Source organism: Homo sapiens, chromosome 4, assembly GCF_000001405.40.
Source record: "Homo sapiens chromosome 4, GRCh38.p14 Primary Assembly".
NCBI classification, from domain to species: Eukaryota; Metazoa; Chordata; class Mammalia; order Primates; family Hominidae; genus Homo; species Homo sapiens.
Window position 1 is genome coordinate 166,728,708 of NC_000004.12, and position 26,505 is coordinate 166,755,212.

The 26,505-nt window shown below is 33.8% G+C and overlaps 1 protein-coding gene across 12 annotated transcripts in view; it reads right to left on the minus strand.

Moving 5' to 3' along the window:
• SPOCK3 (SPARC (osteonectin), cwcv and kazal like domains proteoglycan 3) overlaps positions 4,677-26,505 on the minus strand; it is a 501,562-nt gene continuing 479,733 nt past the window's right edge. For 11 of the 12 annotated variants that reach the window (XM_017008258.2, XM_011532018.2, NM_001251967.2 and 8 more), the window contains 4 exons: positions 25,801-26,022; positions 13,290-13,352; positions 8,760-8,897; positions 4,677-6,383 (listed from right to left, as the gene is read on the minus strand). In XM_017008258.2, the coding sequence (XP_016863747.1) occupies positions 6,214-6,383; positions 8,760-8,897; positions 13,290-13,352; positions 25,801-26,022 (593 nt within the window). In that variant the 3' untranslated portion in view covers positions 4,677-6,213. Of the gene's footprint in view, positions 6,384-8,759; positions 8,898-13,289; positions 13,353-25,378; positions 26,023-26,505 lie in introns of those variants that run through there. The other variant, NM_001204358.2, reaches the window with a different exon arrangement.

Here is a 26,505-nt window from a genome sequence, read left to right on the forward strand (position 1 = left end):
TCCCAGCTACTGGGGAGGCTGAAGCAGGAGAATCACTTGAACCCGGGAGGTGGAGGTTGCAGTGAGCCGATATGGCACCACTGCACTCCAGCCTGGGCAACAAGACTGAAACTCCGCCTCAAAAAAAAAAAAAAAAAAAAAAAAAAAGAATTACAGTGAAATTACATTAAGAATTTTCTGTAAATAACCACTCTTTTGGATAAGACATTGTGGATAATCGATGTTTTGAAAAGGTTAGCCTTTAAATAGGAATTACATTTTAAGAGAGAACATTTATGAGAGCTCAAGAGCAAGTTGATATTGGACTGCATTGAGCTGATGATGTTTCTTAAGTTTGTGCTTTAGTTTCTACATTGATATCGCTGGTGACCTTTAGAGATCACCTTATTTCTCTGGACTAGCTATTTCCTAACAGAGAAAACGGGAATAACAATTTCTATATTCCCATCTTAAAAATATGATAGATCTAAAATAGTGGCTGGTTTCTTGATTTTACTTTTCTTCATTTCCCTCTTCTTAATAATAACTATTATTCAGTGCTGACTACGTGGCTAGGCATTGTTTTAAGTGCTTTCATAAGTATTAAAATTTGTAATCCTCTGCCACATGTGCTAAGGTGAGAATTAATCTCATACCTATTTCACTGATGAGAAAACTAAGCCATGGAGATGTCAAGTAACTTGCCTAAAGTCATGCAGTCCATGAATGCCAGAGCCAGGATTCAGACCTGGTAGACCGTACTGTCCGTGGCTTTTACCACTATACTTACTGTCTTTTTATTTTTTTATTGCAGCTAAATTTTTTGAGCTAGGTCTATTACTAGAATTTCCACTGAAGCACTATTATAGCCTTATGAATTAAATCCTAACACGACTATTACTTTACAAATGAAGAAAACCAGTTACAGCAAAGTTCATTATTTGCCCAATGTCGCAAAGCACTATCAGATTGAGCTCAGAGATTTGACTCCAGCAGTTGCATTTCCTGTACTGCTATACAAATACATTTCATTACACAGCAGAATTAACTTGTTTATGCTCTACTTCACTTTACAACAATTTGAGATGGCTTCAAAACATGTTACATGTTGTTTAAGAAGAAGACATTAGTTTTGGACAGTTGTTGCAAATTTAAATGTGGAAGTAGCATGACATGGTTAAATAACCAGTGGAACTGAGAGACACGGGTAAAGATACAGCACTGTCACTGTTCCATCCCAACTGCCTATAAACTGATGGCTGTGACACCTGCCCTGTCAAGAACCATACATGTGACTTCAACTCACAGTCAGTTGGCCAGAACTAGTTACATGGCCTCAATTTGACTGTGAGGAAAAAAGGAAGATATCACATGTGTCCAGAAAGAAGAGAAGAACCAGGAATGATGAGTATTAGTGATTTCTAGGATACTTTATCTCTAATATAAGAAAAAATAACAACCAAATCTTAGCCGATTGCATGAATTTAATGTATATGACATTTCATGTGTGGTACATATATTAAGTTGACATAAACCCTAGTTCATGTTTCTCTTGAAATGTACCTATTCTAAAATGAATAATTACTTAGGGAAGCCAACTAGTTAAGATACTTAGGTTTGAAGTTTATTTTTTCACTTCTTCATATGACTTTTTCTATGCCTCATAAGCTTCTATAAGTAACAAAAATAATTACATTTATTTGGTATTTACTATGTTCCGGACACCATGTATTAACTCATTTCATCCTCACACTGACTGTATGATGTGAGCACGATTTATTATGTCTATTTAGTATATGAGAGTACTATCGACTGGATCATTTGTTTGAATTAATGTGAATAAAGCTGTAAAAAGAGAAGATAATTCTGACAGCTCATCTTGAAAACTTCAGTAATACCGCTGTTGTTAACCTATTTTAAAAATCTAAAAAAAAGTTAGCATTTAGTGGATATTTACTACAGGATAAACACAGTGCTCCTGCTTTAAATTTGTGTTGCATGTAACCTGCACATAAATTCTCCAGGATAAATACGTTAAGCTACATTTGACAGATGAAAAATATAAGGCATATGGACTCCAAACCTAGGAATATATGTATTTGTATACTTAAGAATGAATGGGATATTTGATCATTAAAATATATTAAAATTGTATTCCCCAAGGATATCTTCGAAAGAGTTGAATATGGATGTGATGGTGTTTATTGGTTGTTGCAATTTTTAAAAATTTTTCCACCTACAATGGCTTACTTTGCCATTTTAAATCATGTTGAACCATAAATTCATTTATCTTAATTTTACTTGCTGAGCTTTTAACCGAGACACAGAAATTAGGTAAAGATATTAAGTAGAACAATGACAGCAGATATTCATACACAATTGAGGAGAGAAAATAATTACTATTCAAAAGGGCTATTCTGATTTGTCTTGCCCCAGGAGGGATGACATATATATTGTATACAACGAAAGCTTAAGATGTTCTCTTTGAAGTGTTCATTGACTTAGTCATTAATAAAAGTTTCATGAAGCCAAGTTATAATTCATGAAGTACTTTTAAAACACAGAATTAAACAGTTGATACCATTTTCTATAAAAATGTGTACTAGAAAGAATGAAAATGTCACCTTTCATTATGTTAACCTTAATATCAGCTATTAGGTTTAAAATAATGTCAAATAGAATAAGCTACAAGGAGCTCATATGATCATTTATTTATACCTTCATGCCACTTTAAATATTCTAGATTTTTAAATTTTCTTACTTCACCTGAGCAATGTATGATATGGTCTAGTACTTTTTATTCATCATGAACAAAAGAGAAATAAATGTGAATCAATGTACTGAATATTTCAAATTTAAAGAAAACACTGGACTAATCGTGTGTGCACACATGTGTTTGTGTGTGCATATGTGCACACTTGTGTCAGGCAGAACAAGCACATTACTTATGATGGCTGTATTCGGTGTGGCTCATTCTCCACCTTCCCCCCAGCTATTAGGAATCTCTAAAAATAGACTGTGTATGGAGCCCTTAATAATCTATTGCATATAGCCAACACCAATGCTTCATTAATTTTATATAAAACAAATCATCAAAGTGTTTGTTACAAAATGTGTATTTATTCATGCAATTCTGTAAATATGCTCTAAATAAACTGTCACTAGCCTATAAGGATCAATGCTTATGACTTACTTTTCACATCATTAGTTTCATGTAAAATAAAAATACTGTAAAAATGTATACAGAGAATAAAGTACTCTTAGCAGCTGTTTTATTAATTAGAAAATTTTTGCTAATAATTTTGATATTTTGGTTTGATAGATTTTTTCTATTAAATGATTGGCAGAAATACAGAGTTTGAATTATTGATCATTTTGATCAATATTAAAATGTTTCATGTTTATTTTAAACTTAGGTTTTTTTCCCCAATAGTATTAGGCAGAATTACCATCCCCTATATGTACAAAAATAAAGCATCATTAATTTCCATACTAGATTTTGGCATAAAAGGAACACTTGCTATTTTATTTGTATATTTCTTCTACTCATTTTCTCTAATGTTTCAATTTTCAATTTGCTGTGATTCCGAATGTCTTGTAGTTTTTGAGTTGCATGTGTGCTTTCTAAATAACACAGATGAGAAAAATAAGACACTATTATAGACTGTATTGTATGACTTTATACCTATGAATCAGATTTCAATTTAAGAAAGAACAAACTGTTGAGATACTTGGATTCTTTTTAATTAAAATATTAAGATTTTGGGTTTCTATCAAGGACTCTCGTTGGGGGTTCAACATACCTCGTTTTTTATTCAAATTAAATCTAGTAAATATCTTTCTTTGATTTATTCCAATGGAGATTATAACTATATTGCATTATGGGCTAGGAATAATGTATTGCTTGTCTTTACACTTCATAATTATTTTGTTCATTAATGAATAGTGTCTAGAATACTGTTTGATTTACAGTAGCTGTCCAATATTTATATTTTGGGGGATAAATGTATAGGTATAATTGTATTGTGTCAAAATATTTAAAATGAATTAAACGATCATGAAAAGACCTAATATACATTACAAGTAGAATTTTTATACACACACACACACACACACAAATATATATATTGTATACAAATAATTTACATAAAGTTTTATAGTGTAATCTATTTTTATTTTCTATTTGCTATTGATTTAATTGCTTTCTTGGGAGTCTCAGAGACACTTCTTTAAAAAAAGCCTAACTTCAACATTACTATATTTGTTACTTTAAATTCATTTGCTAAACCTCTGTATAGAATTTGTTTTTGTCTCTTCCCAACCAGTTATATTTATATACATTTGTTAAATAGACAAGGCTGACTACTCTTCAAAATGCTGTTGCTATAGAAATTTAGCCAAATATGTTAAGTATGACACCATAAAAATGGGTTTTAAAATACAGCCTTGACAAAAATATGATCCATTTTACAATATTATGACAAATGAAACAAAATAAACCACCACCAACAAAATTTTTTTTAACGTACATTGACAAATAATATTCAAGATTCCAAGAGCGCTAATTTTGAAATTCTAAATTTCAGGGACCTCCCCTAGCTAGTTTGTGATGCATTCATTTTAAAAATCAAGGACTCGATTGAGAAGGCTTCATGCTACTATGTGTACTCTGGAAAGACCATTGAGGAACAGTTCAATTTGGTTACAAGATTCTTTATTTTGTAAACTATACATAAACAGTAAAAAAGAAAATGCATTATACTTTATTACGTAAAGTCAACATTAAATTTTGTATTGAGTGTGTATAAATTAAATGGAAATAATTAATCAATTTTGCTTTCAATGAATTGTATACTGGGAAACCAGTTTACCCACTGTTGAAATTAAAGATACCAATACGTAACATTCAACAGGTTTTTCCATTTTTATTATGGGCACAAAACCATTGGTATGATATAGTTAAAAGTGATGGTGTGCCAAAATGTCTACACAATTAATTAACATGCTAACTTAAATACAGCGGTTAAAGTAATTTTTGCTACAGTTAAATCTTAAATGCTACTCTACACAATAATCATAAACAAGTCCACATGGCAATTATGTAACAATAGAAAAAAAGAAACAAACGTATCCCATTTTCTTCATTCCAGCAGCAATACCTTTACTGATATTAATCTGTTAATTAGGTGTGCTTATATATTGCGTAATATACTATATTGGTATGCATGCTAAAATCTTTCTATCTCTATTTTTGCAAGGCACCATACAATAAGTTCTCTAAGTTTCCACACTACTAACAAAAATAACATAATTCTAAGATTAAATGCAAACTTTTACCTAAAATGGGAAATAAAATGAAAATTAAGAATTTAAAATTTGACCTTGGGGCAAATGACAAACTTTGTAAAAATATGGTTTAAATGAATCTTTCCCTTTGTCTTCCTAATTTAAATTCTGCTCCCTAAGTTGCTGGTCAGAAAGATAAAGAAATCTAGAAAGGCAAACAAATCATGTTATTAAAGAATCTTTTAAAAAATCTGCATGAGACTGCCATCCAAATTAAAATACACATTGGGGAGAACAACTAAATTTTTAACTTTCAGAATCCATGGTTTTCCATACTTGCCATTTTGTAAAATGTCCTATTAGATCCAGAATAATTTCATAGGTAAAAACACCACTATTAATGTAAACACAATTGAGGACTCTACAATTGTCACTTTGTTTTTCTTGCCATGTGGTATCTCTCTGTTATCCTGACTCAACTAGGTCTAGCAAGATGCTACTTTGGAAATGCAATTAAAGCATGCATATTTTTCCTAAATCCTTAAGACCCAGGTCATTAAAAATTTATTTATTTTAAATTTCACTTAGAATTATCTTTCAGAAAATTAACATGTACGATCCCAAGCACTAGCTGTCATTTTGCTTATGGAAGATTTACAAAGTTTGTTCTCGTGAAAAACTTATTATAGTAGCACTTCAAAACTTTATTTTGTCTGACTAGACTGCATATGTATTTTCTTTTTGTGTAAGGAATATAAAAACTCAAAGCAAATGATTCTTATTTAAACATAAAGTTCTATAACTTTAGCTGCAATTTTTCAAATAATTATACAAAATATATGTGAGGTTTAGAATCATTTTGTTATTGGGGAAGAAGATAATTTTAAATAGGCTATCATTTTTGTAAATATTAGAAATGTAGAATTTATTGATTTCAACTGTCATCAATCAAATGTATACATCATGGTCATCACCACCATCATCATCATCCCCTTCATCTTCATCATCATCTTCAATTTCATCTTCATCATTCATAATATCGTCTTCATCATCCTCATCATCAGTCCATTCATGAAAATCGCCACTAGCAAAATCTCCGGAGATCTCAAAATCTATAGCTTAAAACAAGTGAAAGTAAACATAACCTTTATTTGACTGAATACTGTCAATTTCTGCAAGATAAAATCCTTATAAAAATTAAGAATATTTTTTAGAAAGTAATTTGTTTTCTATCTTATTTATCAAAGATAATGAAAGATCCATTTTCTGGAAAATTATCACATGTTAAAAATCTATCATTTGTTAAAATGTATGTGCTAAAAGCAGAATCATTATTGAGGTATGTTATGCAAGATTTCCAGTCCAGTAATATTGATCTCATCCCAGTTGTTATAGAAATTCATGTCAGACTGTGCATTTTGCAAAGAATTCAAAATTTCTTCTACAAGTGTGGCAGAAAAATTGCCCTACCAAAGATATTCATTTCCTAATCTCCAGAATCTATAATGTTACCTTAACATGAAAAAGTGACTTTGCAAATATGGTTAAGTAAAGGAATTTGAATTGGAGAGATTATCCTGAATTACCCAGGTGGATCCAAATTGTCACTTAGGTTCTTAAAATAAAAAAAAAAATGTTTTCCAGATAGAGTGGGAAGGAGCTATGACTACAGAAGAATGATCAGAGATGCAGTGTTGTCGGCTTAAGTTTAGAGGAAAGAGTCCATGAACCAAGGGATGAGAGCTACCTCTAAGAGGTGAAAAGGGCAAGGAAACAGATTTTCCTCTAAAGCTTCCAGAGAGGAGCACCATCCTGCTGACATCTGGATGTTGAGCTTAGTGAGACCTGTGTTGATCTTCTGAGGCACAGAAATGTAGGATAAATGTGTGTTGTTTAAGCCACTGAGTGGGAATTTGTTACTAAAGCAACAGAAAACTAATATTTTACAAAATATTTTAAAAATAACTATTAACACTTATGGAGGCAATAATGCACATACATCTTAGCACTCACTGTGTATTGACTTTTCAACTCCTCAAATGCTAGCGTGGATTTATTTTATACTCTTTCTAATATTTTATTCTTATAATTATTTGGTATCTAATTATAACAAATCCTATTGATGTAATTCAAGGTTTATAAATTGGTTGATCTCACAAGACAACACACTAAAATTCCCATCTTAACTGAAGAAAATATTTAGTTCTCCAACTTCATCTACTGTGTTAGTTATAAAATGTAAAGAAAACTCAGATGTCCACGTTCCAAAAGCAATGTTCTTGTTCACTTAAGGAACTCATCTCCATATAACTTTTATTTACAACATAAAAAAGTTATGTATCCATCATTGTCATCAATGACAACAGAATTAATTTATAATGCAACTACTTTACAGCACACATTACAAAGATGTGTTCCCTATATGTAAAATTTATGTAAGGCAGCTATTGAATCCTCTTTCTTCCTACTTAAATCTAACTGCATTGGCCAGGTCAGCAAACCGAAACTAAGCTGTTAAAAATGTTATGAACAAATGGATTCAGAGCAGGAATTTAAAGTTTAAATGAGATTACTTTTATTGTTTATCTTTTTTTAATAGTCTTAGTTTATTAGTCTAAAATTTGCTTGAAGAATACATCTAAATATTTTCTAAAATGCAAGATTAAAAAGTATTTTATTCTCATTTTTGATCATTTATATTAATTGAAACACAAAGAATTAATTCCTGGTGTGTGTGTGTGTGTGCGCGTGTGTGTGTCTACAATGAGGTGGCTTTTGTCATGAAAACTGTCTATAATACCAAGAAAATTGACACTTGCATTCTAGAAAAATGTTTTATGAAGTACAAATGGTACCACAATGGAAACTTTAAAATGCATGTATGTTATGCTCAACTAAGCGTTACATTCTATTTTAAATATATACATAAAAAATGCATGTTCCTAAAAAAGAATTAGAATATTAGCTATAATTCCCTTTAAACAGTCAAACTACATTTTCCTCACTCAAGCACAAGGAAACATGCTCATATAGCTGTAATTTATGGACTTTTACTTTAAAAAGGTTTGTATTTCTTTGGCTGGTGAACCCACATATTCCCTAAGTTACCATCTCCAGAGGTATACAGACAAAAGGGTGTCATCTGAAGACACGATAAATAGAGTTTATTGACTTGCAGTAGGATGAATGAGAAAGGTCTGCTTTAGCTGAGAGGAAAAGAAGTACCTCAACAACTTTCTGAATTTGAAGTAGGAAAGGAACTCAGCTTTTAATTAATCTCTCTAGAAAATCTAAATTATGCAATGACCACTTATTATCTATCCAAGTTTTTAACATGCTAGGAGTAAGTTTTTTTTGTCACTCCCTCCACCCTAGATATTCTACAGTCTTTGCATAGAGTAAGTCCTCATTAAATGCTTGAACAAATGAATGAGGCTCTAAAGCACTTAATTCTGTGCTTAGAAAATTATGAAATAAGTAACCCTTCTCCTTACCACAATCTGCAACACCATTTATTCTGGATCCCATGACTTCATTTCCATATCTGTCAACACACCAGCACTGTCCAACACTGCCATGACATTGTGTTGGCTTGTAGTAACCATCTTCATCACACAGGGGGATATACTGTCCTGTTGAAACAACACACAGGCATACAAACACACACATGTAGTTTATGAATAAGCTGTGCTCCTTTCTGAGAAGCACCCATTATGCATTAATGCATTAAAGACTTACACATATGGAGTGTCCACTGTATTCCAGGATAGATACCAGTGATGCCTTAGAAGAAATCAGGGAAGTCTTTTGTGTCATGGAGCTGGCCATTGCCACAATGAACTGCTTATAGTTCATGGATTCATTTCCTTTGTAAAGCAAAGTACTATCTTACTAGTTCTCACTGTGCAAAGGGTAGTGTTTCAGAGGCACAATACAGAATTAAAATCTGATTAGTGCCATGCTTATATTAAATCACCCAGACCACTTAGCATGGCAGAAGACCTGCCACCATCTGCCTTCATCGCTGCCAACTTTCTACTTTCATTTCCCCAAATGTTCATTCCTATATTCCAAGTTCTTTCCAAATCAAGCTATGTGTTTTTCCCAAATTCAATGCTGTTTTGTCTCTTTACACATTATGTCGACTAGAGTCTCTCTCCTCTCTCTTCCACTTTAAGATTTGACATAAATGTGACCCACAATTTAAAGTCTTCCTCAAAATGAAAGATTCCTGATTACTTCTTCCATTCTCTGTGTGTGTGTGTTTGTGTGTGTGTGTGTGTTGACTGTCCTTGCATACTTTCACCACTACATTGTGATATCATCTATGGTTAGAAATATTTAGGTTCTCTTCATTTTTATTGTTGTGTGAACAACATCTCAAGCCCATGGTCGAGAGGGAACACAGTCTATTGGGAATAGTAGAACAGATAGATAAATATTTTTTATTTATTTATTTATTTATTTATTTAATTTTACTCTATGGTTTTTTTTTCTTTTTTTATTATTATTATACTTGAAGTTTTAGGGTACACGTGCACAATGTGCAGGTTAGTTACATATGTATACATGTGCCATGCTGCTGTGCTGCACCCATTAACTCGTCACTTAGCATTAGGTATATCTCCTAATGCTATCCCTCCCCCCTCCCCCCACCCCACAACAGTCCCCAGAGTGTGATGTTCCCCTTCCTGTGTCCATGTGTTCTCATTGTTCAATTCCCACCTATGAGTGAGAACATGCGGTGTTTGGTTTTTTGTCCTTGCGATAGTTTACTGAGAATGATGATTTCCAATTTCATCCATGTCGCTATAAAGGACATGAACTCATCATTTTTTATGGCTGCATAGTATTCCATGGTGTATATGTGCCACATTTTCTTAATCCAGTCTATCATTGTTGGACATTTGGGTTGGTTCCAAGTCTTTGCTATTGTAAATAGTGCCACAATAAATATACGTGTGCATGTGTCTTCATAGCAGCATGATTTATAGTCCTTTGGGTATATACCCAGTAATGGGATGGCTGGGTCAAATGGTATTTCTAGTTCTAGATCCCTGAGGAATTGCCACACTGACTTCCACAATGGTTGAACTAGTTTACAGTCCCAGCAACAGTGTAAATGTGTTCCTATTTCTCCACATCCTCTCCAGCACCTGTTGTTTCCTGACTTTTTAATGATTCCCATTCTAACCGGTGTGAGATGGTATCTCATTGTGGTTTTGGTTTGCATTTCTCTGATGGCCAGTGATGGTGAGCATTTATTTATTTATTTATTTATTTTTTGAGACAGAGTCTCACTCCATCACTCAGGCTGGAGTGCAGTGGGGCGATCTCGGCTCACTACAACCTCTGCCTCCCAGGTTCAAGTGATTCTCCTACCTCAGCCTCCTGAGTGGCTGAGATTACAGGCATGCACCACCACACCAAGGTAATTTTTGTGTTTTTAGTACAGATGGGGTTTCACCATGTTGTCAAGACTGATCTCAAACTCCTGACTTCAAGTCATCCATCCACCTCAACCTCCCAGAATGCTGGGATTACAGGCATGAGCCGTCATCCCCGACTAGAGACTTCTTTTTATATCTATAAAATCTAACATACTCTATGGCACAATGCTCATGATAAACCCTTAATTAGTAATTTAAAAGTGAAGTCGTGTTTTTTAATAAGTACTCCAACACCAGAATATAAGTTCCAGGAGATAAGAATATTTTCTTTTATTTTCTGACTTTTTTTTTTTCTGTGACCAGAAGCATAATAGTTATTTGGTGAAATTTAAAAAATAAATAAATAAATGGATAAAAGACAAAACTTAGTCTTGTAACCATATAACATCATAACTTCACTATCTCAAAAAGTTTGAAAATTGTTATACGTAGATTAACTTAGTTTAAAAAACTATAATTTATTCAAAATAGCTGAACTGCTAATCTTTCAATTAGATAGACAGAATATCATTAACTTCAGAACGCTTTCTATGGATTAAAGGCCAGAAAAAATAAGGAAAAAATTCACTGTTGTCACATCTACAGCTTTTACAACTACCATTTGAATTTGACATAAACATGTTATGATGTATAGTTAGTGTGACCATAATTGATACTTTATGCCAGTAAAGTTGGTTGATGTCTGAAGTTTTAGCATAATTCTTAAGAATATTCTCTTTTCCTTTCAAAGACTGAATCTCCAAATCAGGACATGGGGCATCATACTCCTATATAACAAGTGATCAATTTCAGACGCGTACTAATACCCCACCCAAATTAGAAGAAATGCTTAAAGACTTTAGTGTTCTCTATAATAATTTTCATTTATATTATGAAAGAATAATGAAGGTAACTCTTCCCAAATGGGAACTAAGTATTTTTTTATACCTTCAAATAATAAAAACCTGTATTCTAATAGATTTTTGCTACTAATAGAATTTAAGTAGAAAATATTTTTAAGTTGAATTTCAATGGCTTTCTTTATGGTACATGGCTAAACTTTGATTTGCCAAGACAAATCTATATAAGAACTTATTATTATTATTATTATTATTATTATTATTATTATCATTATTATTTCTGAGATGGAGTCTCGCTCTGTTACCCAGGCTGGTGTACGGTGGTGCCATCTCGGCTCACTGCAACATCTTCCTCCCCGGTTCAAGCAATTCTCCTGCTTCAGGCGCCAGAGTAGCTGTGATTACAGGCACACACCACCACGCCAGGCTAATTTTTGTATTTTCAGTAGAGGTGGGGTTTTGCCATATTGGCCAGGGTGGTCTCGAACTCCTGACCTCAGGTGATCTGCCTACCTTGGCCTCCTAAAGTGTTGGGATTACAGGCGTGAGCCACTGTACCCAGCCAGAATGTATTATTTTCATTTGTGAGCTGTGGTATCTCCTGCATCTTGTAACAGGGTCAAAAGAAACATGACACATTGTAGCATTTATCATCAGTAATTTTCACACCTAAAAATGTTTTATTACAAAACATTAAACTTTTAATTTTGTACAATGGGCACTGAAACAAAGATTTGCAAGTAATGTGAAAAATCCTCTTATTTAAATGTAATATATTGTAATTACAAAGATAGTAAGTCAAAATATAAAACAGATTAATCAGATCCAGAGACATTAGAGTTATGTGCCATTAAATACACGAGTGTGTTAATATCCGTGAAAAGAAATATTGCATGTGTGCTGTCATGCTTTGAATTCTAAAATAGAAAAAGAACAGTGGCAAAACTGGTGACAACCAAATAAAGTCTGAAGCTTACTTAATAGGATTATAGCAATGCTAATTTCTTAGATATTTACAAATGTTTCATCGTTATTTGGCACATGCAAGACGTTATATTTAGTGGAAGCTGGGTGAAGAATGTTTGGAAACTATGTACCTTTGTCACTGTTTTTATAAATTTAAAACTATTCCAAAAATAGTTTATTTAAAAATTGTAAGTTTATAAGAATAAACCACTCATATGTAACAGTTTAATAATCTGTTTATATCCAAACATTCAAATATTTCAAGGCTTTGAATAAAATCTGAAATATCTATCTACTTATACATTTACTTATTAAAAGAAGGGTAGTAAAAAACACTAATGAAAAATACCAACAAGTCTATTCAAATTTCCCTGAGGTACTCAGAGCACTTTTCACCCAATTTATAAAACTACATGCTTTAAATAGCACATATACATATATATATATTTGCCATCAATTCTTAAATCTTCACCATATAATTTGAACTGAATTTTCTGCTGATGTTTTAACTTTAGCATTGCTTAAATCTTTCTTTTTACTTAATAACTTTCAAAATGAACATTATATTAGGGTAATAAAACAGACATAATATCTTTCAATAGGTAAGGTAATAAAAGTAAGTTTAATGGCTTTCAAAAAGTTCATAAATTTTGTTGCTGAAATTTAGTGCAGTCTATCTTTGTTGGATTAATATTGATTTTATGTTGCTGTTTCCCTGGGGTTATTTATGTAAGCAATAAAGCCTTCAGAAGAATGATCTATTACTCACCTAGGAGCTTCTTTACCCCTTGCCGCTTCTGAATATTGCTGAGCTCAGTCTGGCAAGGTGGGTCTGCAATGACATTAAAAATGTTACTTCAAGGATTCTAGTTAAACAAAGAAAGTGTAATTTCTATGTTATCAAACTTCACTTAGTCTTTTTGTGCCTTTGGAAGACATGTATTACATATTAATTGGTTTACTTATAAAGATACATTCATATAGGTACATACATGTGTCTATCTATCATCTATCTATCTATCTATCTATCTATCTATCTATCTATCTATCTAATATCTATCTATAGAGACAGAGAGAGCACTCATACTACTTTCCTAATTGTCAATATATCACCTTGGTTTTCCTCAGAATTCCTGGATTGGATTTTTTAAAAGTATAAAAGATACTTATATGATGAAAAATACTTCTTATCATTTACTTTTAAAAGGTCAATCAAGTCAGAAATGTAAATTCAACTAATTGACTGCTGCTGAAGCAATTAACTGATTATGTTTTCCCCTCATTTAAAAGTTTCTGTGATATAGACAAGTAACTTTGTGTTACAAAAGTAATCTAGGAAAAAGTTAATGCTTCTTTCCAGTTATGTTAAAGACCTTATTATAAATTTTAATATTGTATAATGTTAAGAGATATTAGTCTTTTTAGTTTCAGCCATATATGCAATTTAGGAACAGGATATAATATAAAATTATTTCTGATAAGCTGTTATTTTAAAAATAAGCTGAAAACATTTAAACCGATCTGGAAATAGTCTTTGCCTATTTTCAAACTCAACCACTTGAAGGAGGACGTTCGTAGAGAAATGTAAAATTCTAAATAGTCACAATATAGTTTGCCTTATATTATTACTCTTATATTTACTGTTGCCCTTCATATCTGTGAGTTCTGCATTTATAGATTCAACCAACCGCTAATTGAAAATTTTCAAAAAATAAAAATCTAGAGATGATTTAAAGTATATAAGAGGATGTGCGTACGTTATATGTCAATATTTTGCCATTTTATAGAAGGCATTTGAGTGACTTGATTTTGGTGTTCACAAGTGGTCCTGAGATCGATCCCCCTCGGATACTAAGAGATAACTGTATATAATTATATACACATATAATATGTAATATATACAGTCTTATCTGAAAGCAGTTTAGTGCATTTTATATTCATATTCTAAAAGCTTGCTGTTAATGCTTGCTATATAAAAGTGGCATTAGAAAATAGTAAAACTGCAAAATAATATACTATATCTTATTGTCCCATGGTACAACTTTTTAGGAAAAAGGCAAAGTATATTAATTTAAATGTTTTTAAAATTTTATAATACATTGAATTCAAAATATTCAATTATGAAATTTTACGTAACAAAGTGGAATAAAGAATGAGATAGGTGCTTAACATATACATTGTAGTTTAATATGTGAACTTAATCTTGCAGAATCTAAAAAAAAATTCATCTTATAGAATCTAAAATGTAAAGAAAGAGAATCATTCCAAGATGGCCAAACAGGAACAGCTCCAGTCTATAGCTCCTAGTGTGAGCGACGCAGAAGACGGGTGATTTCTGCATTTCCAACTGAGGTACTGGGTTCATCTCATTGGGACTGGTCAGAAAATGGGTGCAGCCCACAGAGTATGAGCCGAAGCAGGGCGGGACATCGCCTCACCTGGGAAGTGCAATGGGTTGGGGAATTCCCTTTCCCAGCCAAGGGAAGCCGTGATAGACGGTACCTGGAAAATTGGGACACTCCTGCCCTGATATTGCACTTTTACAACGGTCTTAGCAGATGGCACACCAGGAGACTATATCCTGCGCCTGGTTTGGTGGGTCCCACGCCCATGGAGCTTTGCTCACTGCTAGCACAGCAGTCGGAGATCCAACTGTGAGGCATCAGCGAGACTGGGGGAGGGGGGTCCACCTTTGCTAAGGCTTGACTAGGTAAACAAAGCAGCCAGGAAGCTCGATCTGGGTGGAGCCCACAGCAGCTCAAGGAGGCCTCCCTGCCTCTGTAGACTCCACCTCTGAGGGCAGGGCATAGCTGAACAAAAGGCAACAGAAACTTCTGCAGACTTAAACGTCCCTGTCTGACAGCTTTGAAGAGAGCAGTGGTTCTCCCACCCCGGAGTTTGAGATCTGAGAACAAACAGACTGCCTCCTCAAGTGGGTCCCTGACCCCCGAGTAGCCTAACTGGGAGATACCTCCCAATAGGGGCTGACTGACACCTCATACAGCCGAGTGCCCCTCTGAGATGAAGCTTCCAGAGGAAGGATCAGGCAGCAACATTTGCTGTTCTGCAATATTTACTGTTCTGCAGTCTCCACTGGTGATACCCAGGCAAACAGGGTCTGGAGTGGACCTCCAGAAAACTCCAACAAACCTGCCTCTGAGGGTCCTGACTGTTGGAAGGAAAAGCAACAATCAGAAAGGAATAGCAGTAACATCGACAAAAAGGACATCCACACCAAGACCGCATCTGTAGGTCACCATCATCAAAGACCAAAGGTAGATAAAACCAGAAAGATGGGAAGAAACCAGAGCAGAAAAGCTGAAAATTCTAAAAACCAGAGCGCCTATTCTCCTCCAAAGGAACGCAGCTCCTCACCAGCAACAGAACAAAGCTGGATGGAGAATGACTTTGACGAGTTGACAGAAGTAGGCTTCAGAAGATCAATAATAAGAAACTTTTCCAAGATAAGGGAGGATGTTCGAACCCATTGCAAGGCAGCTAAAAACTTTGAAAAAAGATTAGACAAATGGCTAACAGGAATAAACAGCATAGGGAAGACCTTAAGTGACCTGATGGAGCTGAAAACCATGGCATGAGAACTACGTGATGCGTGCATAAGCTTTAGTAGCCGATTCGATCAAGTGGAAGAAAGGGTATCAGTGATTGAAGATCAAATGAATGAAATGAAGCGAGAAGACAAGTTTAGAGAAAAAAAAAGTAAAAATAAACGAACAAAGCCTCCAAGAAATATGGGACTATGTGAAGAGACCAAATCTACATTTGATTGGTGTACGTGAAAGTGATGGGGAGAATGGAACCAAGTTGGAAAACACTCTGCACGATATTAACCAGGAGAACTTCCCCAACCTAGCAAGGTAGGCCAACATTCAAATTCAGGATATACAGAGAACACCACAAAGACATTCCTCAAGAAGAGCAACCCCAAGACACATAATTTTCATATGCACCAAGGTGGAAATGAAGGAAAAAATGTTAAGGGCAGCCAGAGAGAAAGGTCGGGTTACCCACAAAGGGAAGCCCATCAGACTAACAGCGGATCTCTCAGCAGAAACTCTATGAGCCAGAAGAGAGTGGGGGCCAATATTCAACATTCTTAAAGAAAAGTATTTTCAACCCAGTATTTCATATCCAGCCAAACTAAATTTCATAAGTGAAGGAGAAATAAAATCCTTTACAGACAAGCAAATGCTGAGGGATTTTCTCACCACCAGGCCTGCCTTATAAGAGCTCCTGAAGAAAGCACTAAACATGGAAAGGAACAACCAGTAACAGCCACTGCAAAAACATGCCAAATTGTAAAGACCATTGACACTAGGAAGAAACTGCATAAACTAATAGGCAAAATAAGCAGCTAACATCATAACGATAGGATCAAATTCACACATAACAATATTAACCTTAAATGTAAATGGGCTAAATGCCCCAGTTAAAAGACACAGACTGGCAAGTTGGATAAAGAGTCAAGACCCATCAGTGTGCTGTATTCAGGAGACCCATCTCATGTGCAGAGACACACATAGGCTCAAAATAAAGGGATGGAGGAAGATCTACTAAACAAATGTAAAACAAAAAAAGCAGGGTTGCAATCCTAGTCTCTGATAAAACAGACTTTAAACCAACAAAGATCAAAAGACAAAAAGAAGGCCATTACATAATGGTAAAGGCATGAATTCAACAAGAAGAGCTAACTATCCTAAATATATATGAACTCAATACAGGAGCACCCAGATTCATAAAGCAAGTCCTTAGAGACCTACAAAGAGACTTAGACTCCCACACAATAATAATGGGAGACTTTAACACCCTACTGTCAACATTAGACAGATCAATGACACAGAAAGTTAACAAAGATATCCAGGCCTTGAACTCAGCTCTGCACCAAGCAGACTTAATAGACATCTACAGAACTCTTCACCCCAAATCAACAGAATATACATTCTTCTCAGAAGCACATCACACTTATTCCAAAATTCACCACTTAGTTGGAAGTAAAGCACTCCTCAGCCAGCAAATGTAAAAGAACAGAGATCATAACAAACTGTCTCTCAGACCACAGTGCAATCAAATTAGAACTCAGGATTAAGAAACTCACTCAAAACCACTCAACTACATGGAAACTGAACAACCTGCTCCTTACTGGGTACATAACGAAATGAAGGCAGAAATAAAGATGTTCTTTGAAACCAATGAGAACAAAGACAGAACATACCAGAATCTCTGGGACACATTTAAAGCAGTGTGGAGAGGGAAATTTATAGCACTAAATGCCCACAAGAGAAAGCAGGAAAGATCTAAAATTGACACCCTAACATCACAATTAAAAGAACTAGAGAGGCAAGAGCAAACACATTCAAAAGCTAGCAGAAGGCAAGAAATAACTAAGATCAGAGAAGAACTGAAGGAGATAAAGACACAAAATCCCTTCAAAAAATCAATGAATCCAGGAGCTGGTTTTTTGAAAGGATCAACAAAATTGATAGACTGATAGCAAGATTAATAAAGAAGAAAAGAGAGAAGAATCAAATAGATGCAATAAAAAATGATAAAGGAGATATCACCACCGATCCCACAGAAATACAAACTACCATCAGAGAATACTGTAAACACCTTTACACAAATAAACTAGAAAATCTAGAAGAAATGCATAAATTCCTGGACACATACACCCTCCCAAGACTAAACCAGGAAGAAGTTGAATCCCTGAATAGACCAATAACAGACTCTGAAATTGAGGCAATAATTAAGAGCCTACCAACCAAAAAAAGTCCAGGACCAGATGGATTCACAGCCAAATTCTACCAGATGTACAAGGAGGAGCTGGTACCATTCCTTCTGAAACTATTCCAATCAATAGAAAAAAAGTGAATCCTCCCTAACTCATTTTATGAGGTCAACATCATCCTGATACCAAAGCCTGGCAGAGACACAGCAAACAAAGAGAATTTCAGGCCAACATCGCTGATGAACATTGATGCAAAAATCCTCAGTAAAATACTGGCAAACCGAATCCAGCAGCACATCAAAGAGCTTATCCACCATGATCAAGTTGGCTTCATCCCTGGGATGCAAGTCTGGTTCAACCTATGCAAATCAATAAACGTAATCCATCACAAAAAGAGAACCAATGACAAAAACCATATGATTATCTCAATAGTTGCAGAAAAGGCCTTTGACAAAATTCAACAGCCCTTCATGCTAAAAACTCTCAATAAACTAGCTATTGATGGGACATATCTCAAAATAATAAGAGCTATTTATGACAAACCCACAGCCAATATCATACTGAATGGCCAAAAACTGGAAGCATTCCCTTTGAAAACTGGCACAAGACAGGGATGCCTTCTCTCACTACTCCTATTCAATATATTGTTGGAAGTGCTGGCCAGGGCAATCAGGCAGGAGAAGGAAATAAAGGATATTCAATTAGGAAAAGAGGAAGTCAAATTGTCCCTGTTTGCAGATGACATGATTGTATATTTAGAAAACCCCACTGTCTCAGCCCAAAATCCCCTTAAGCTGATAAGCAACTTCAGCAAAGTCTCAGGATACAAAATCAATGTGCAAAAATCACAAGCATTCTTATACACCAATAACAGAAAAACAGAGAGCCAAATCATGAGTGAACTCCCATTCATAATTGCTTCAAAGAGAATAAAATACCTAGGAATCCAACTTATAGGAAATGTGAAGGACCTCTTCAAGGAGAACTACAAACCACTGCTCAATGAAATAAAAAAAGATACAAACAACTGGAAGTACATTCCATGCTCATGGATAGGAAGAATCAATACCATGAAAATGGCCTTACTGCCCAAGGTAATTTATAGATTCAATGCCATCCCCTTCAAGCTACCAATGACTTTCTTCATAGAATTGGAAAAAACTACTTTAAAGTTCATATGGAATCAAAAAAGAGCCTGCATTGCCAAGACAATCCTAAGCCAAAAGAACAAAGCTGGAGGCATCATGCTACCTGACTTCAAACTATACTACAAGGCTATGGTAACCAAAACAGCATGGTACTGGTACCAAAACAGAGATATAGACCAGTGGAACAGAACAGAGCCCTCAGAAATAATACCACACATCTACAACCATCTGATCTTTGACAAACCTGACAAAAACAAGAAATGGGGAAAGGATTCCCTTTTTAATAAATGGTGCTGGGAAAACTGGCTAGCCATATGTACAAAGCTGAAACTGGATGCCTTCCTTACATCATATACAAAAGTTAACTCAAGATGGATTAAAGACTTAAATGTTAGACCTAAAGCCATAAAAACCCTAGAAGAAAACCTAGGCAATACCATTCAGGACATAGGCATGGGCAAAGACTTCATGTCTAAAACACCAAAAGCAATGGCAACAAAAGCCAAAATAGACAAATGGGATCTAATTAAACTTAAGATCTTCTTCACAGCAAAAGAAACTTCCTTCAGAGTGAACAGGCAACCTACAGAATGGGAGAAAATTTTTGCAATCTATTCATCTGACAAAGGGCTAACATCCAGAATCCACAAAGAACTTGAACAAATTTATAAGAAAAAAATCAAACAACCCCATCAAAAAGTGGGTAAAGGATATGAACAGACATTTTTCAAACGAAGTCATTTATGCCACCAACAGACACAGAAAAAATGCTCATCATCACTGGCCATCAGGGAAATGCATATCAAAACCACAATGAGATACCATCTCACACCAGTTAGAATGGTGATCATTAAAAAGTCAGGAAACAACAGGTGCTGGAGAGGATGTGGAGAAATGGGAATACTTTTACACTGTTGGTGGGACTGTAGACTAGTTCAACCATTGTGGAAGGCAGTGTGGTGATTCCTCAAAGACATAGAACTAGAAATACCATTTGACCCAGCCATCCCATTACTGGGTATATACCCAAAGGATTATAAATCATGCTACTATAAAGACACATGTGCACGTATGTTTATTGCAGCACTGCTCACAATAGCAAAGACTTGGAACCAACCCAAATGTCCATCAATGATAGAATGGTTTAAGAAAATGTGGCACATATACATCTTGGAATACTATGCAGCCATAAAAAAAGATGAGTTCATGTCCTTTGTAGGGACATGGATGAAGCTGGAAACTATCATTCTGAGCAAACTATCACAAGGACAGAAAACCAAACACCACATGTTCTCACTCATAGGTGGGAATTGAACAATGAGAACACTTGGACACAGGGTTGGGAACTTCACACACAAGGGCCTATGGTGCGGTGGGGGGAGCGGGGAGGGATAGCATTAGGAGAAATACCTATTGTAAATGACGAGTTTATGGGTGCAGCACACCAACATGGCACATGTATACATATGTAACAAACCTGCACGTTGTGCACATGTACCCTAGAACTTAAAGTATGATAAAAAATAAAAAAAAATAAAAATAAAATAATAAAATGTAAAGAAAACCTGTTTTAAAATCTTGTATAATTAGTATATTGTTCTATTTCATTTTGAAATTGATCCAATTGATCCCTTTGTTATTCCTGATAATCTTCTGAGTCTCTTATATTAAAGAATTAGGAATCATATTGTATAGTTTTTTATACAGACATTTAAAATTTTATAGCTCTCCAAATATGACATTTAAGAACTAAGAGGAAAGAGTCCAGCTGAAGTTTCAATATTATATTGAAAACAGTTCTTCTAGTTGCAATTGGCTAGTTATTGTAAAGCAGAAATAGGATTTCTAATGTCTACTTGAACACCCTCGTGCATTTGAGTCTATACCTGAAAATGCACGTACATTTGATCGGAATTTTGATTAGTAACCTCAGAGAATATGTCTGCCTACCAGCGTTACAAGCTCTGTGTAAAAGAACATTTTAGAATTTCAAGAAAATCATGACTGATTGGATTGTTCAAGTATATATAATATTTGATTTTAAACTATTTTCTTATTATTTATTAGCCAGCTCTGTAAGTCTAGCCTTTAGGTATTCTTAGAGCACTTAACTGAGACTTCATCTATCATTTAAACTCACTTGCAAATAACTGATCTAGATAAAAGAATAGTAACCTAACTAATTGCATTAAAGTTTGGACAGAATCAGACTATTAGGTCTACACAGGGTAAGGACTAATAGGTCAGCTTAGGGTAGAGACATGGATTCATCTCATAAGATGAATTCCCCCAATGTGTTTGCTACCAACGAGTGTTTTAAGTTTATGCTAAATTCTTATCTTATGTGCTTAAAAACTGTATGAGAATCACAAATTAATAAAATATAAAATTTAATCAGAATTTTTTATTAACTGTTCTAAACCAGTAGGGAAGAATGAAAAAAAAATAGAAGTTAAATTTCCAGATGTTGTTTGTTTTGAATATAAAATTGTTGATTGTTCTGCATTCTGAATTTAAAAACCCAAACCCCTACATTGGAGTCATTATATTAGGAATTGGTAATTTTCAATACAACAGTAACAATGCACTTTTATTTACCCATGAAATTTTGAACTAAAGAAAATGTAATTGGGATAAATAAATTTAAAATACGTATATGTTTCCAACAGTTACTACAATACAAAGTATGTTTTCTATACTTGAAAGAAGTCATTTCTAAGAAATACTTGTTTTTAGCTGTCAAATATATATGGATAATATAGAGTCAAAACTGAAAAGAAAGTGGGCATTATGGAGGTTTGTGAATGAATCTCTAAGTTGGCAGCATATGGCTGCACAGGCTGTGTACTGCACAACTCCAACAGGGTACCATCTACCTGAATTGCACTATCAATGGTGCCCTGAAGTTTTACAACAAGGCAGCCCTCTAGCAGTTTTTTAAGTAAGCCACTGCCCTTAATCACTTTTCTTCTCCATACGTTATTGGTCACGTAGCCTCTCATAGAATGGTTATACTTTTAAAACTTTATTAGATTCATTTCATTCATAGAAATTACAAATATTCACAATTCCAAATCCTCCATATTTATTTGATTTAATAGGAAAATCATATCTTTTAAAAAGAATGAATTAATCCCCCATGCACTACACTTTGACATCTCTTCCTGTTTATTAAATGTATACATAACCTCCAATAATGTCATTAATTTTCATTTCATTCCTGAGAAAAAACCCTGCATAAACTAGTTATTGGAAAAGGACTTGTTGATGTTATTCGTACTGAATAAGACTATCCAATAAGTTGCACTGATGATTCTATGGCATTTTATATATAATTACTTTGTTATTTCTGAAAGTAGAATTACAAATATTTGAAGACAGAAATCAAGGAGTTTCATTTCAAATACCAGTTTATTCATGTACTCATTTCATAATGTGAAGTTATTGAATATGAATAAACTTCAGTCCTTAGCCATAAAATGGGAATATTTATACTTTCACAGGGCTATTTCAGTAATAATTTTATGTACACAAAAGACTAGGTGGAGCTGAATAAATGTTAGTTTTCTTTATCATTCCTTTATCTTACACAACAGCGTTTTCAATAGAATAGCAACTAATAAATGATTAACTTTTTAGAGTAAGTAAAAGTAGACATACTTTTATGAAAGCACATTCTTAACACGTAAGGTAGCTAAAATCCCAAATTGATATTCCTCCTACTCACTTTTTCAGGATTACTTAGAATAAAGAATTCTACAAATTACAACCATGTTCATTTTGTATTGCTTAATTGTCATGATTTTAGAAAATTAGCCATAGAAACAAATTTGTTTCTCAATTAAAATTATAACATTTTTTTCCCTTGGAAAACTACAAATATTTCACTTGCTTGAAATTGTACATTCCTTTTGTTGTTGTTGTTGTTGAGGTAGGGTCTCACTCTGGTACTCTGTTGCCCAGGCTGGAGTGTAGAGGTGCCATCTCAGCTCACTGCAACCTCCAACCTCCTTCTCCTGCCTCAGATCCCCAAGTAGCTAGGACTACAGGCATGTACCACCAATCCTGGCTAATTTTTGTGTTTTTTGTAGAGACAGGATCTCACCACATTGCCCACACTGCTCGGACTCCTGAGCTTAAGCAATCCACCCTCCTTGGCCTCCCAAAGTGCCAGGATTACAGGCATGAGCAACTGTGCCCAGCTGAAATTTACAAACTCATTTATTAAACTTTCAAAATTAACTTTAATTTTATAATGTGAAAGTTACTTTTTAGAAAAACATCATTATTTTCCAGTTGTTTTTCCACACTATGCAACTGTAGTCTTCATGGCAGTTTTAAGTAAGCCTAGATTAAATAACCTCTCATTCCATCCTATTTTTGAGAGCGAGAGCTCTATATATAGCAGCTATATATAGAGTAGCTATATGTGTGTATATATATATATATATATATACACACACACACACACACACACACACACACACACACACACATATATTTATAGCTACAGTAAACAAGAATTTCAGGAAAATATTCTTTTATAAGCTGGAATATTTGAAAAAATCAGCATATAAATTAATGGTGATTTTTTAATAAAATTACTTATTGAACTAAAAGAATACATAAAAACAAAGTTGTATCGTATCACTAGCATGCCTTCTCAGTTACCCTGAGAACTTTTGTAACTTCTAGCAATTAAAGTAATGAAATGTTGGCTAAGAGTTTAGCCAAACCCTTCTAAGCATTAGAGAAATTGTATAAGCTCTTTTACTAGCTTAGGTACCATTTATTAAACTATTTCTGCTATGCATTAAATGACCTCAGAGAGTAAATCTTCATATGGCTATATAAAAATTAACACTTTGGGAGAATGCTACAATTTAAATGAAACATAGATAACATAAAATTTTTCTATGGGGACCTTTAATCAATCCTGCAAATATTGCTACAAAACCTAAGAATATTCTAAGATAAAGAATTTATCGATTTCTGTAGACAAAGCATTCTGAGTTATTCAGAATATTTTAAATGTTTGTGTATAGACACCAAAAAATATGCTACCATAACACCAAAAAATAAAAATAAAAAATTAAAATAACGTTTGTCATCATAAGAAAAGAGTACATGACTACGTGTATTTTTCTGGCAGTTTAGCTGGATTTACTACTTTTTATTATTTAAATTATTTAAATGCACACTTGTCATTAATACTAGGATGTAAGTTTTTAGGAGTATTTAACTTGAAAGCACATATGTAATGTAGCCAACAATGTGTGTTTGTGTGTGTAATAAATATTTTAATACAGTAAATGTATTTTTTAAACTTTGTTTAGAGTGGTTTATTAATAGTTAAGTTACTGTACTCAACTAAAGCTTCTGTTGACTCACCACTAATCAATTTATGCATATTCATTTCATCCCTAATTACTGAACTATTACTAAATGTGGAAAAGTTATTGAGATAATAAACTACCCCATATAATGTGCTGGTTTTCCTTATCGAAGACTGGTAATCATTGATATTGTAAAGTATCTTGTTCTTTCTCTTAGTTCTCAAGAATTTAAAAAAGCATTGACAACAGCAGGCTTTACCACATTAATTCCCAGGGTATTTTCCTAAATTAACATCAACATTACACTTACCATTGTTTCTTTAGTTTCTCAAAACTTTATCATAATGTGAGTTTCTTGTTTTTTCCCCTATTCATATTTAATATAAATTATCATTCAATTGATTCCATAAGCCTGATTCCAATTTTACATTATGTTTACATTTCCTAATACAGAAAGATGCATGAAGAACTGGTGCCATTCCAACTTTTCACTTACCTCACCTCCTCCTTAGTATTAAGACACTTTTTCTGCTAGTGAATTTTATAAAAGGTAAGCTATTTTGAAAAGTTTGAAAGACTAAATCATTTTAAAATCACATGAGTAAAAATAACTTTATGGTGAATGCTCTGGTTCATTCAACTCATTTAATAAGATCACAAAATAGAACATTAAAACTCCACCGTATAGTGATAAAAAATCCATTTATTTTACATTGTGGGCAAAGCAGATAGCAAATTAATTTTAATGATTACTTTCAGTATCTAAGTTCTTAATATTTCTGTGTGCTTCTTGGTGGCTCATAATGGAAACTATAATGTAGTGGCATTAATACAAAATATTAATTACTATTTTTCATCTTATTTAGCATGTGTTGTATCTCTGGCAGAGTTATTTGTTCAACATGCTTCTTATTTGCTCTTTTATTCAACACTTGAATTACAAAAACATACACAAAATGAATGAGCATAGTGTACTGTTTTATTTTCTTAAAAAATAAGTAAAATTTGACATGCAGGTCAACTATTTGCGTCTGTAAGGGTCTCATCTTTTACCTTGCTGTCTCTGGAAGCAGTAGCACCACTCATTATTAGATATTAAACTGTCCTTGTATGTGTCACAAGAATTGAAGAATGCCTTGGTACACTGTTCATTCTTATCAAGGTAAATGCTTCTGAGCTCTGACTGGTCCAATAGCAGGTCATAGTTTGTATCAAGTCTGTTAAACATCCAGCCAAGTGAGTCCTTGCAAATTGGCAAGATGCTGGTATCGAATCCTAAAGGCAAAAAAAAGAAAATGATTAGTTAAATATGAAAGACACCATTAGCAGAAAGCAAAATAAGTCAACATAGCAGGTAGCTAGTGTAGGACATCTAATGAATAGTTAGAGAAGTAGAGCATTAAATTCATCATGAGTAGTTTGTTTCAAATTGAAGTGGATATAGTAGTATCTACATTTCAGGATAGTTGTGAGAATTAATTAACCAGAAAGCATTTGGTACTAATTAGTCATTCATTCAATGGCAGTTACTATTATAATTATATATTATTTATATTACTTTACTGATCAAGCTTCTTTGAATAAATAGTATATCATGATAAATGTCTCATTAGATATATGTAAATACTATTTTAAAACATCCTATGAACAAAAAATAAAATTTATATTTATTCACAGCACTGAAAATATGATCTTAAAAGCAGACTTTACACAAAATAAGTAATAACTTTAATAATTCCCTATATCTTGGTAGGATTA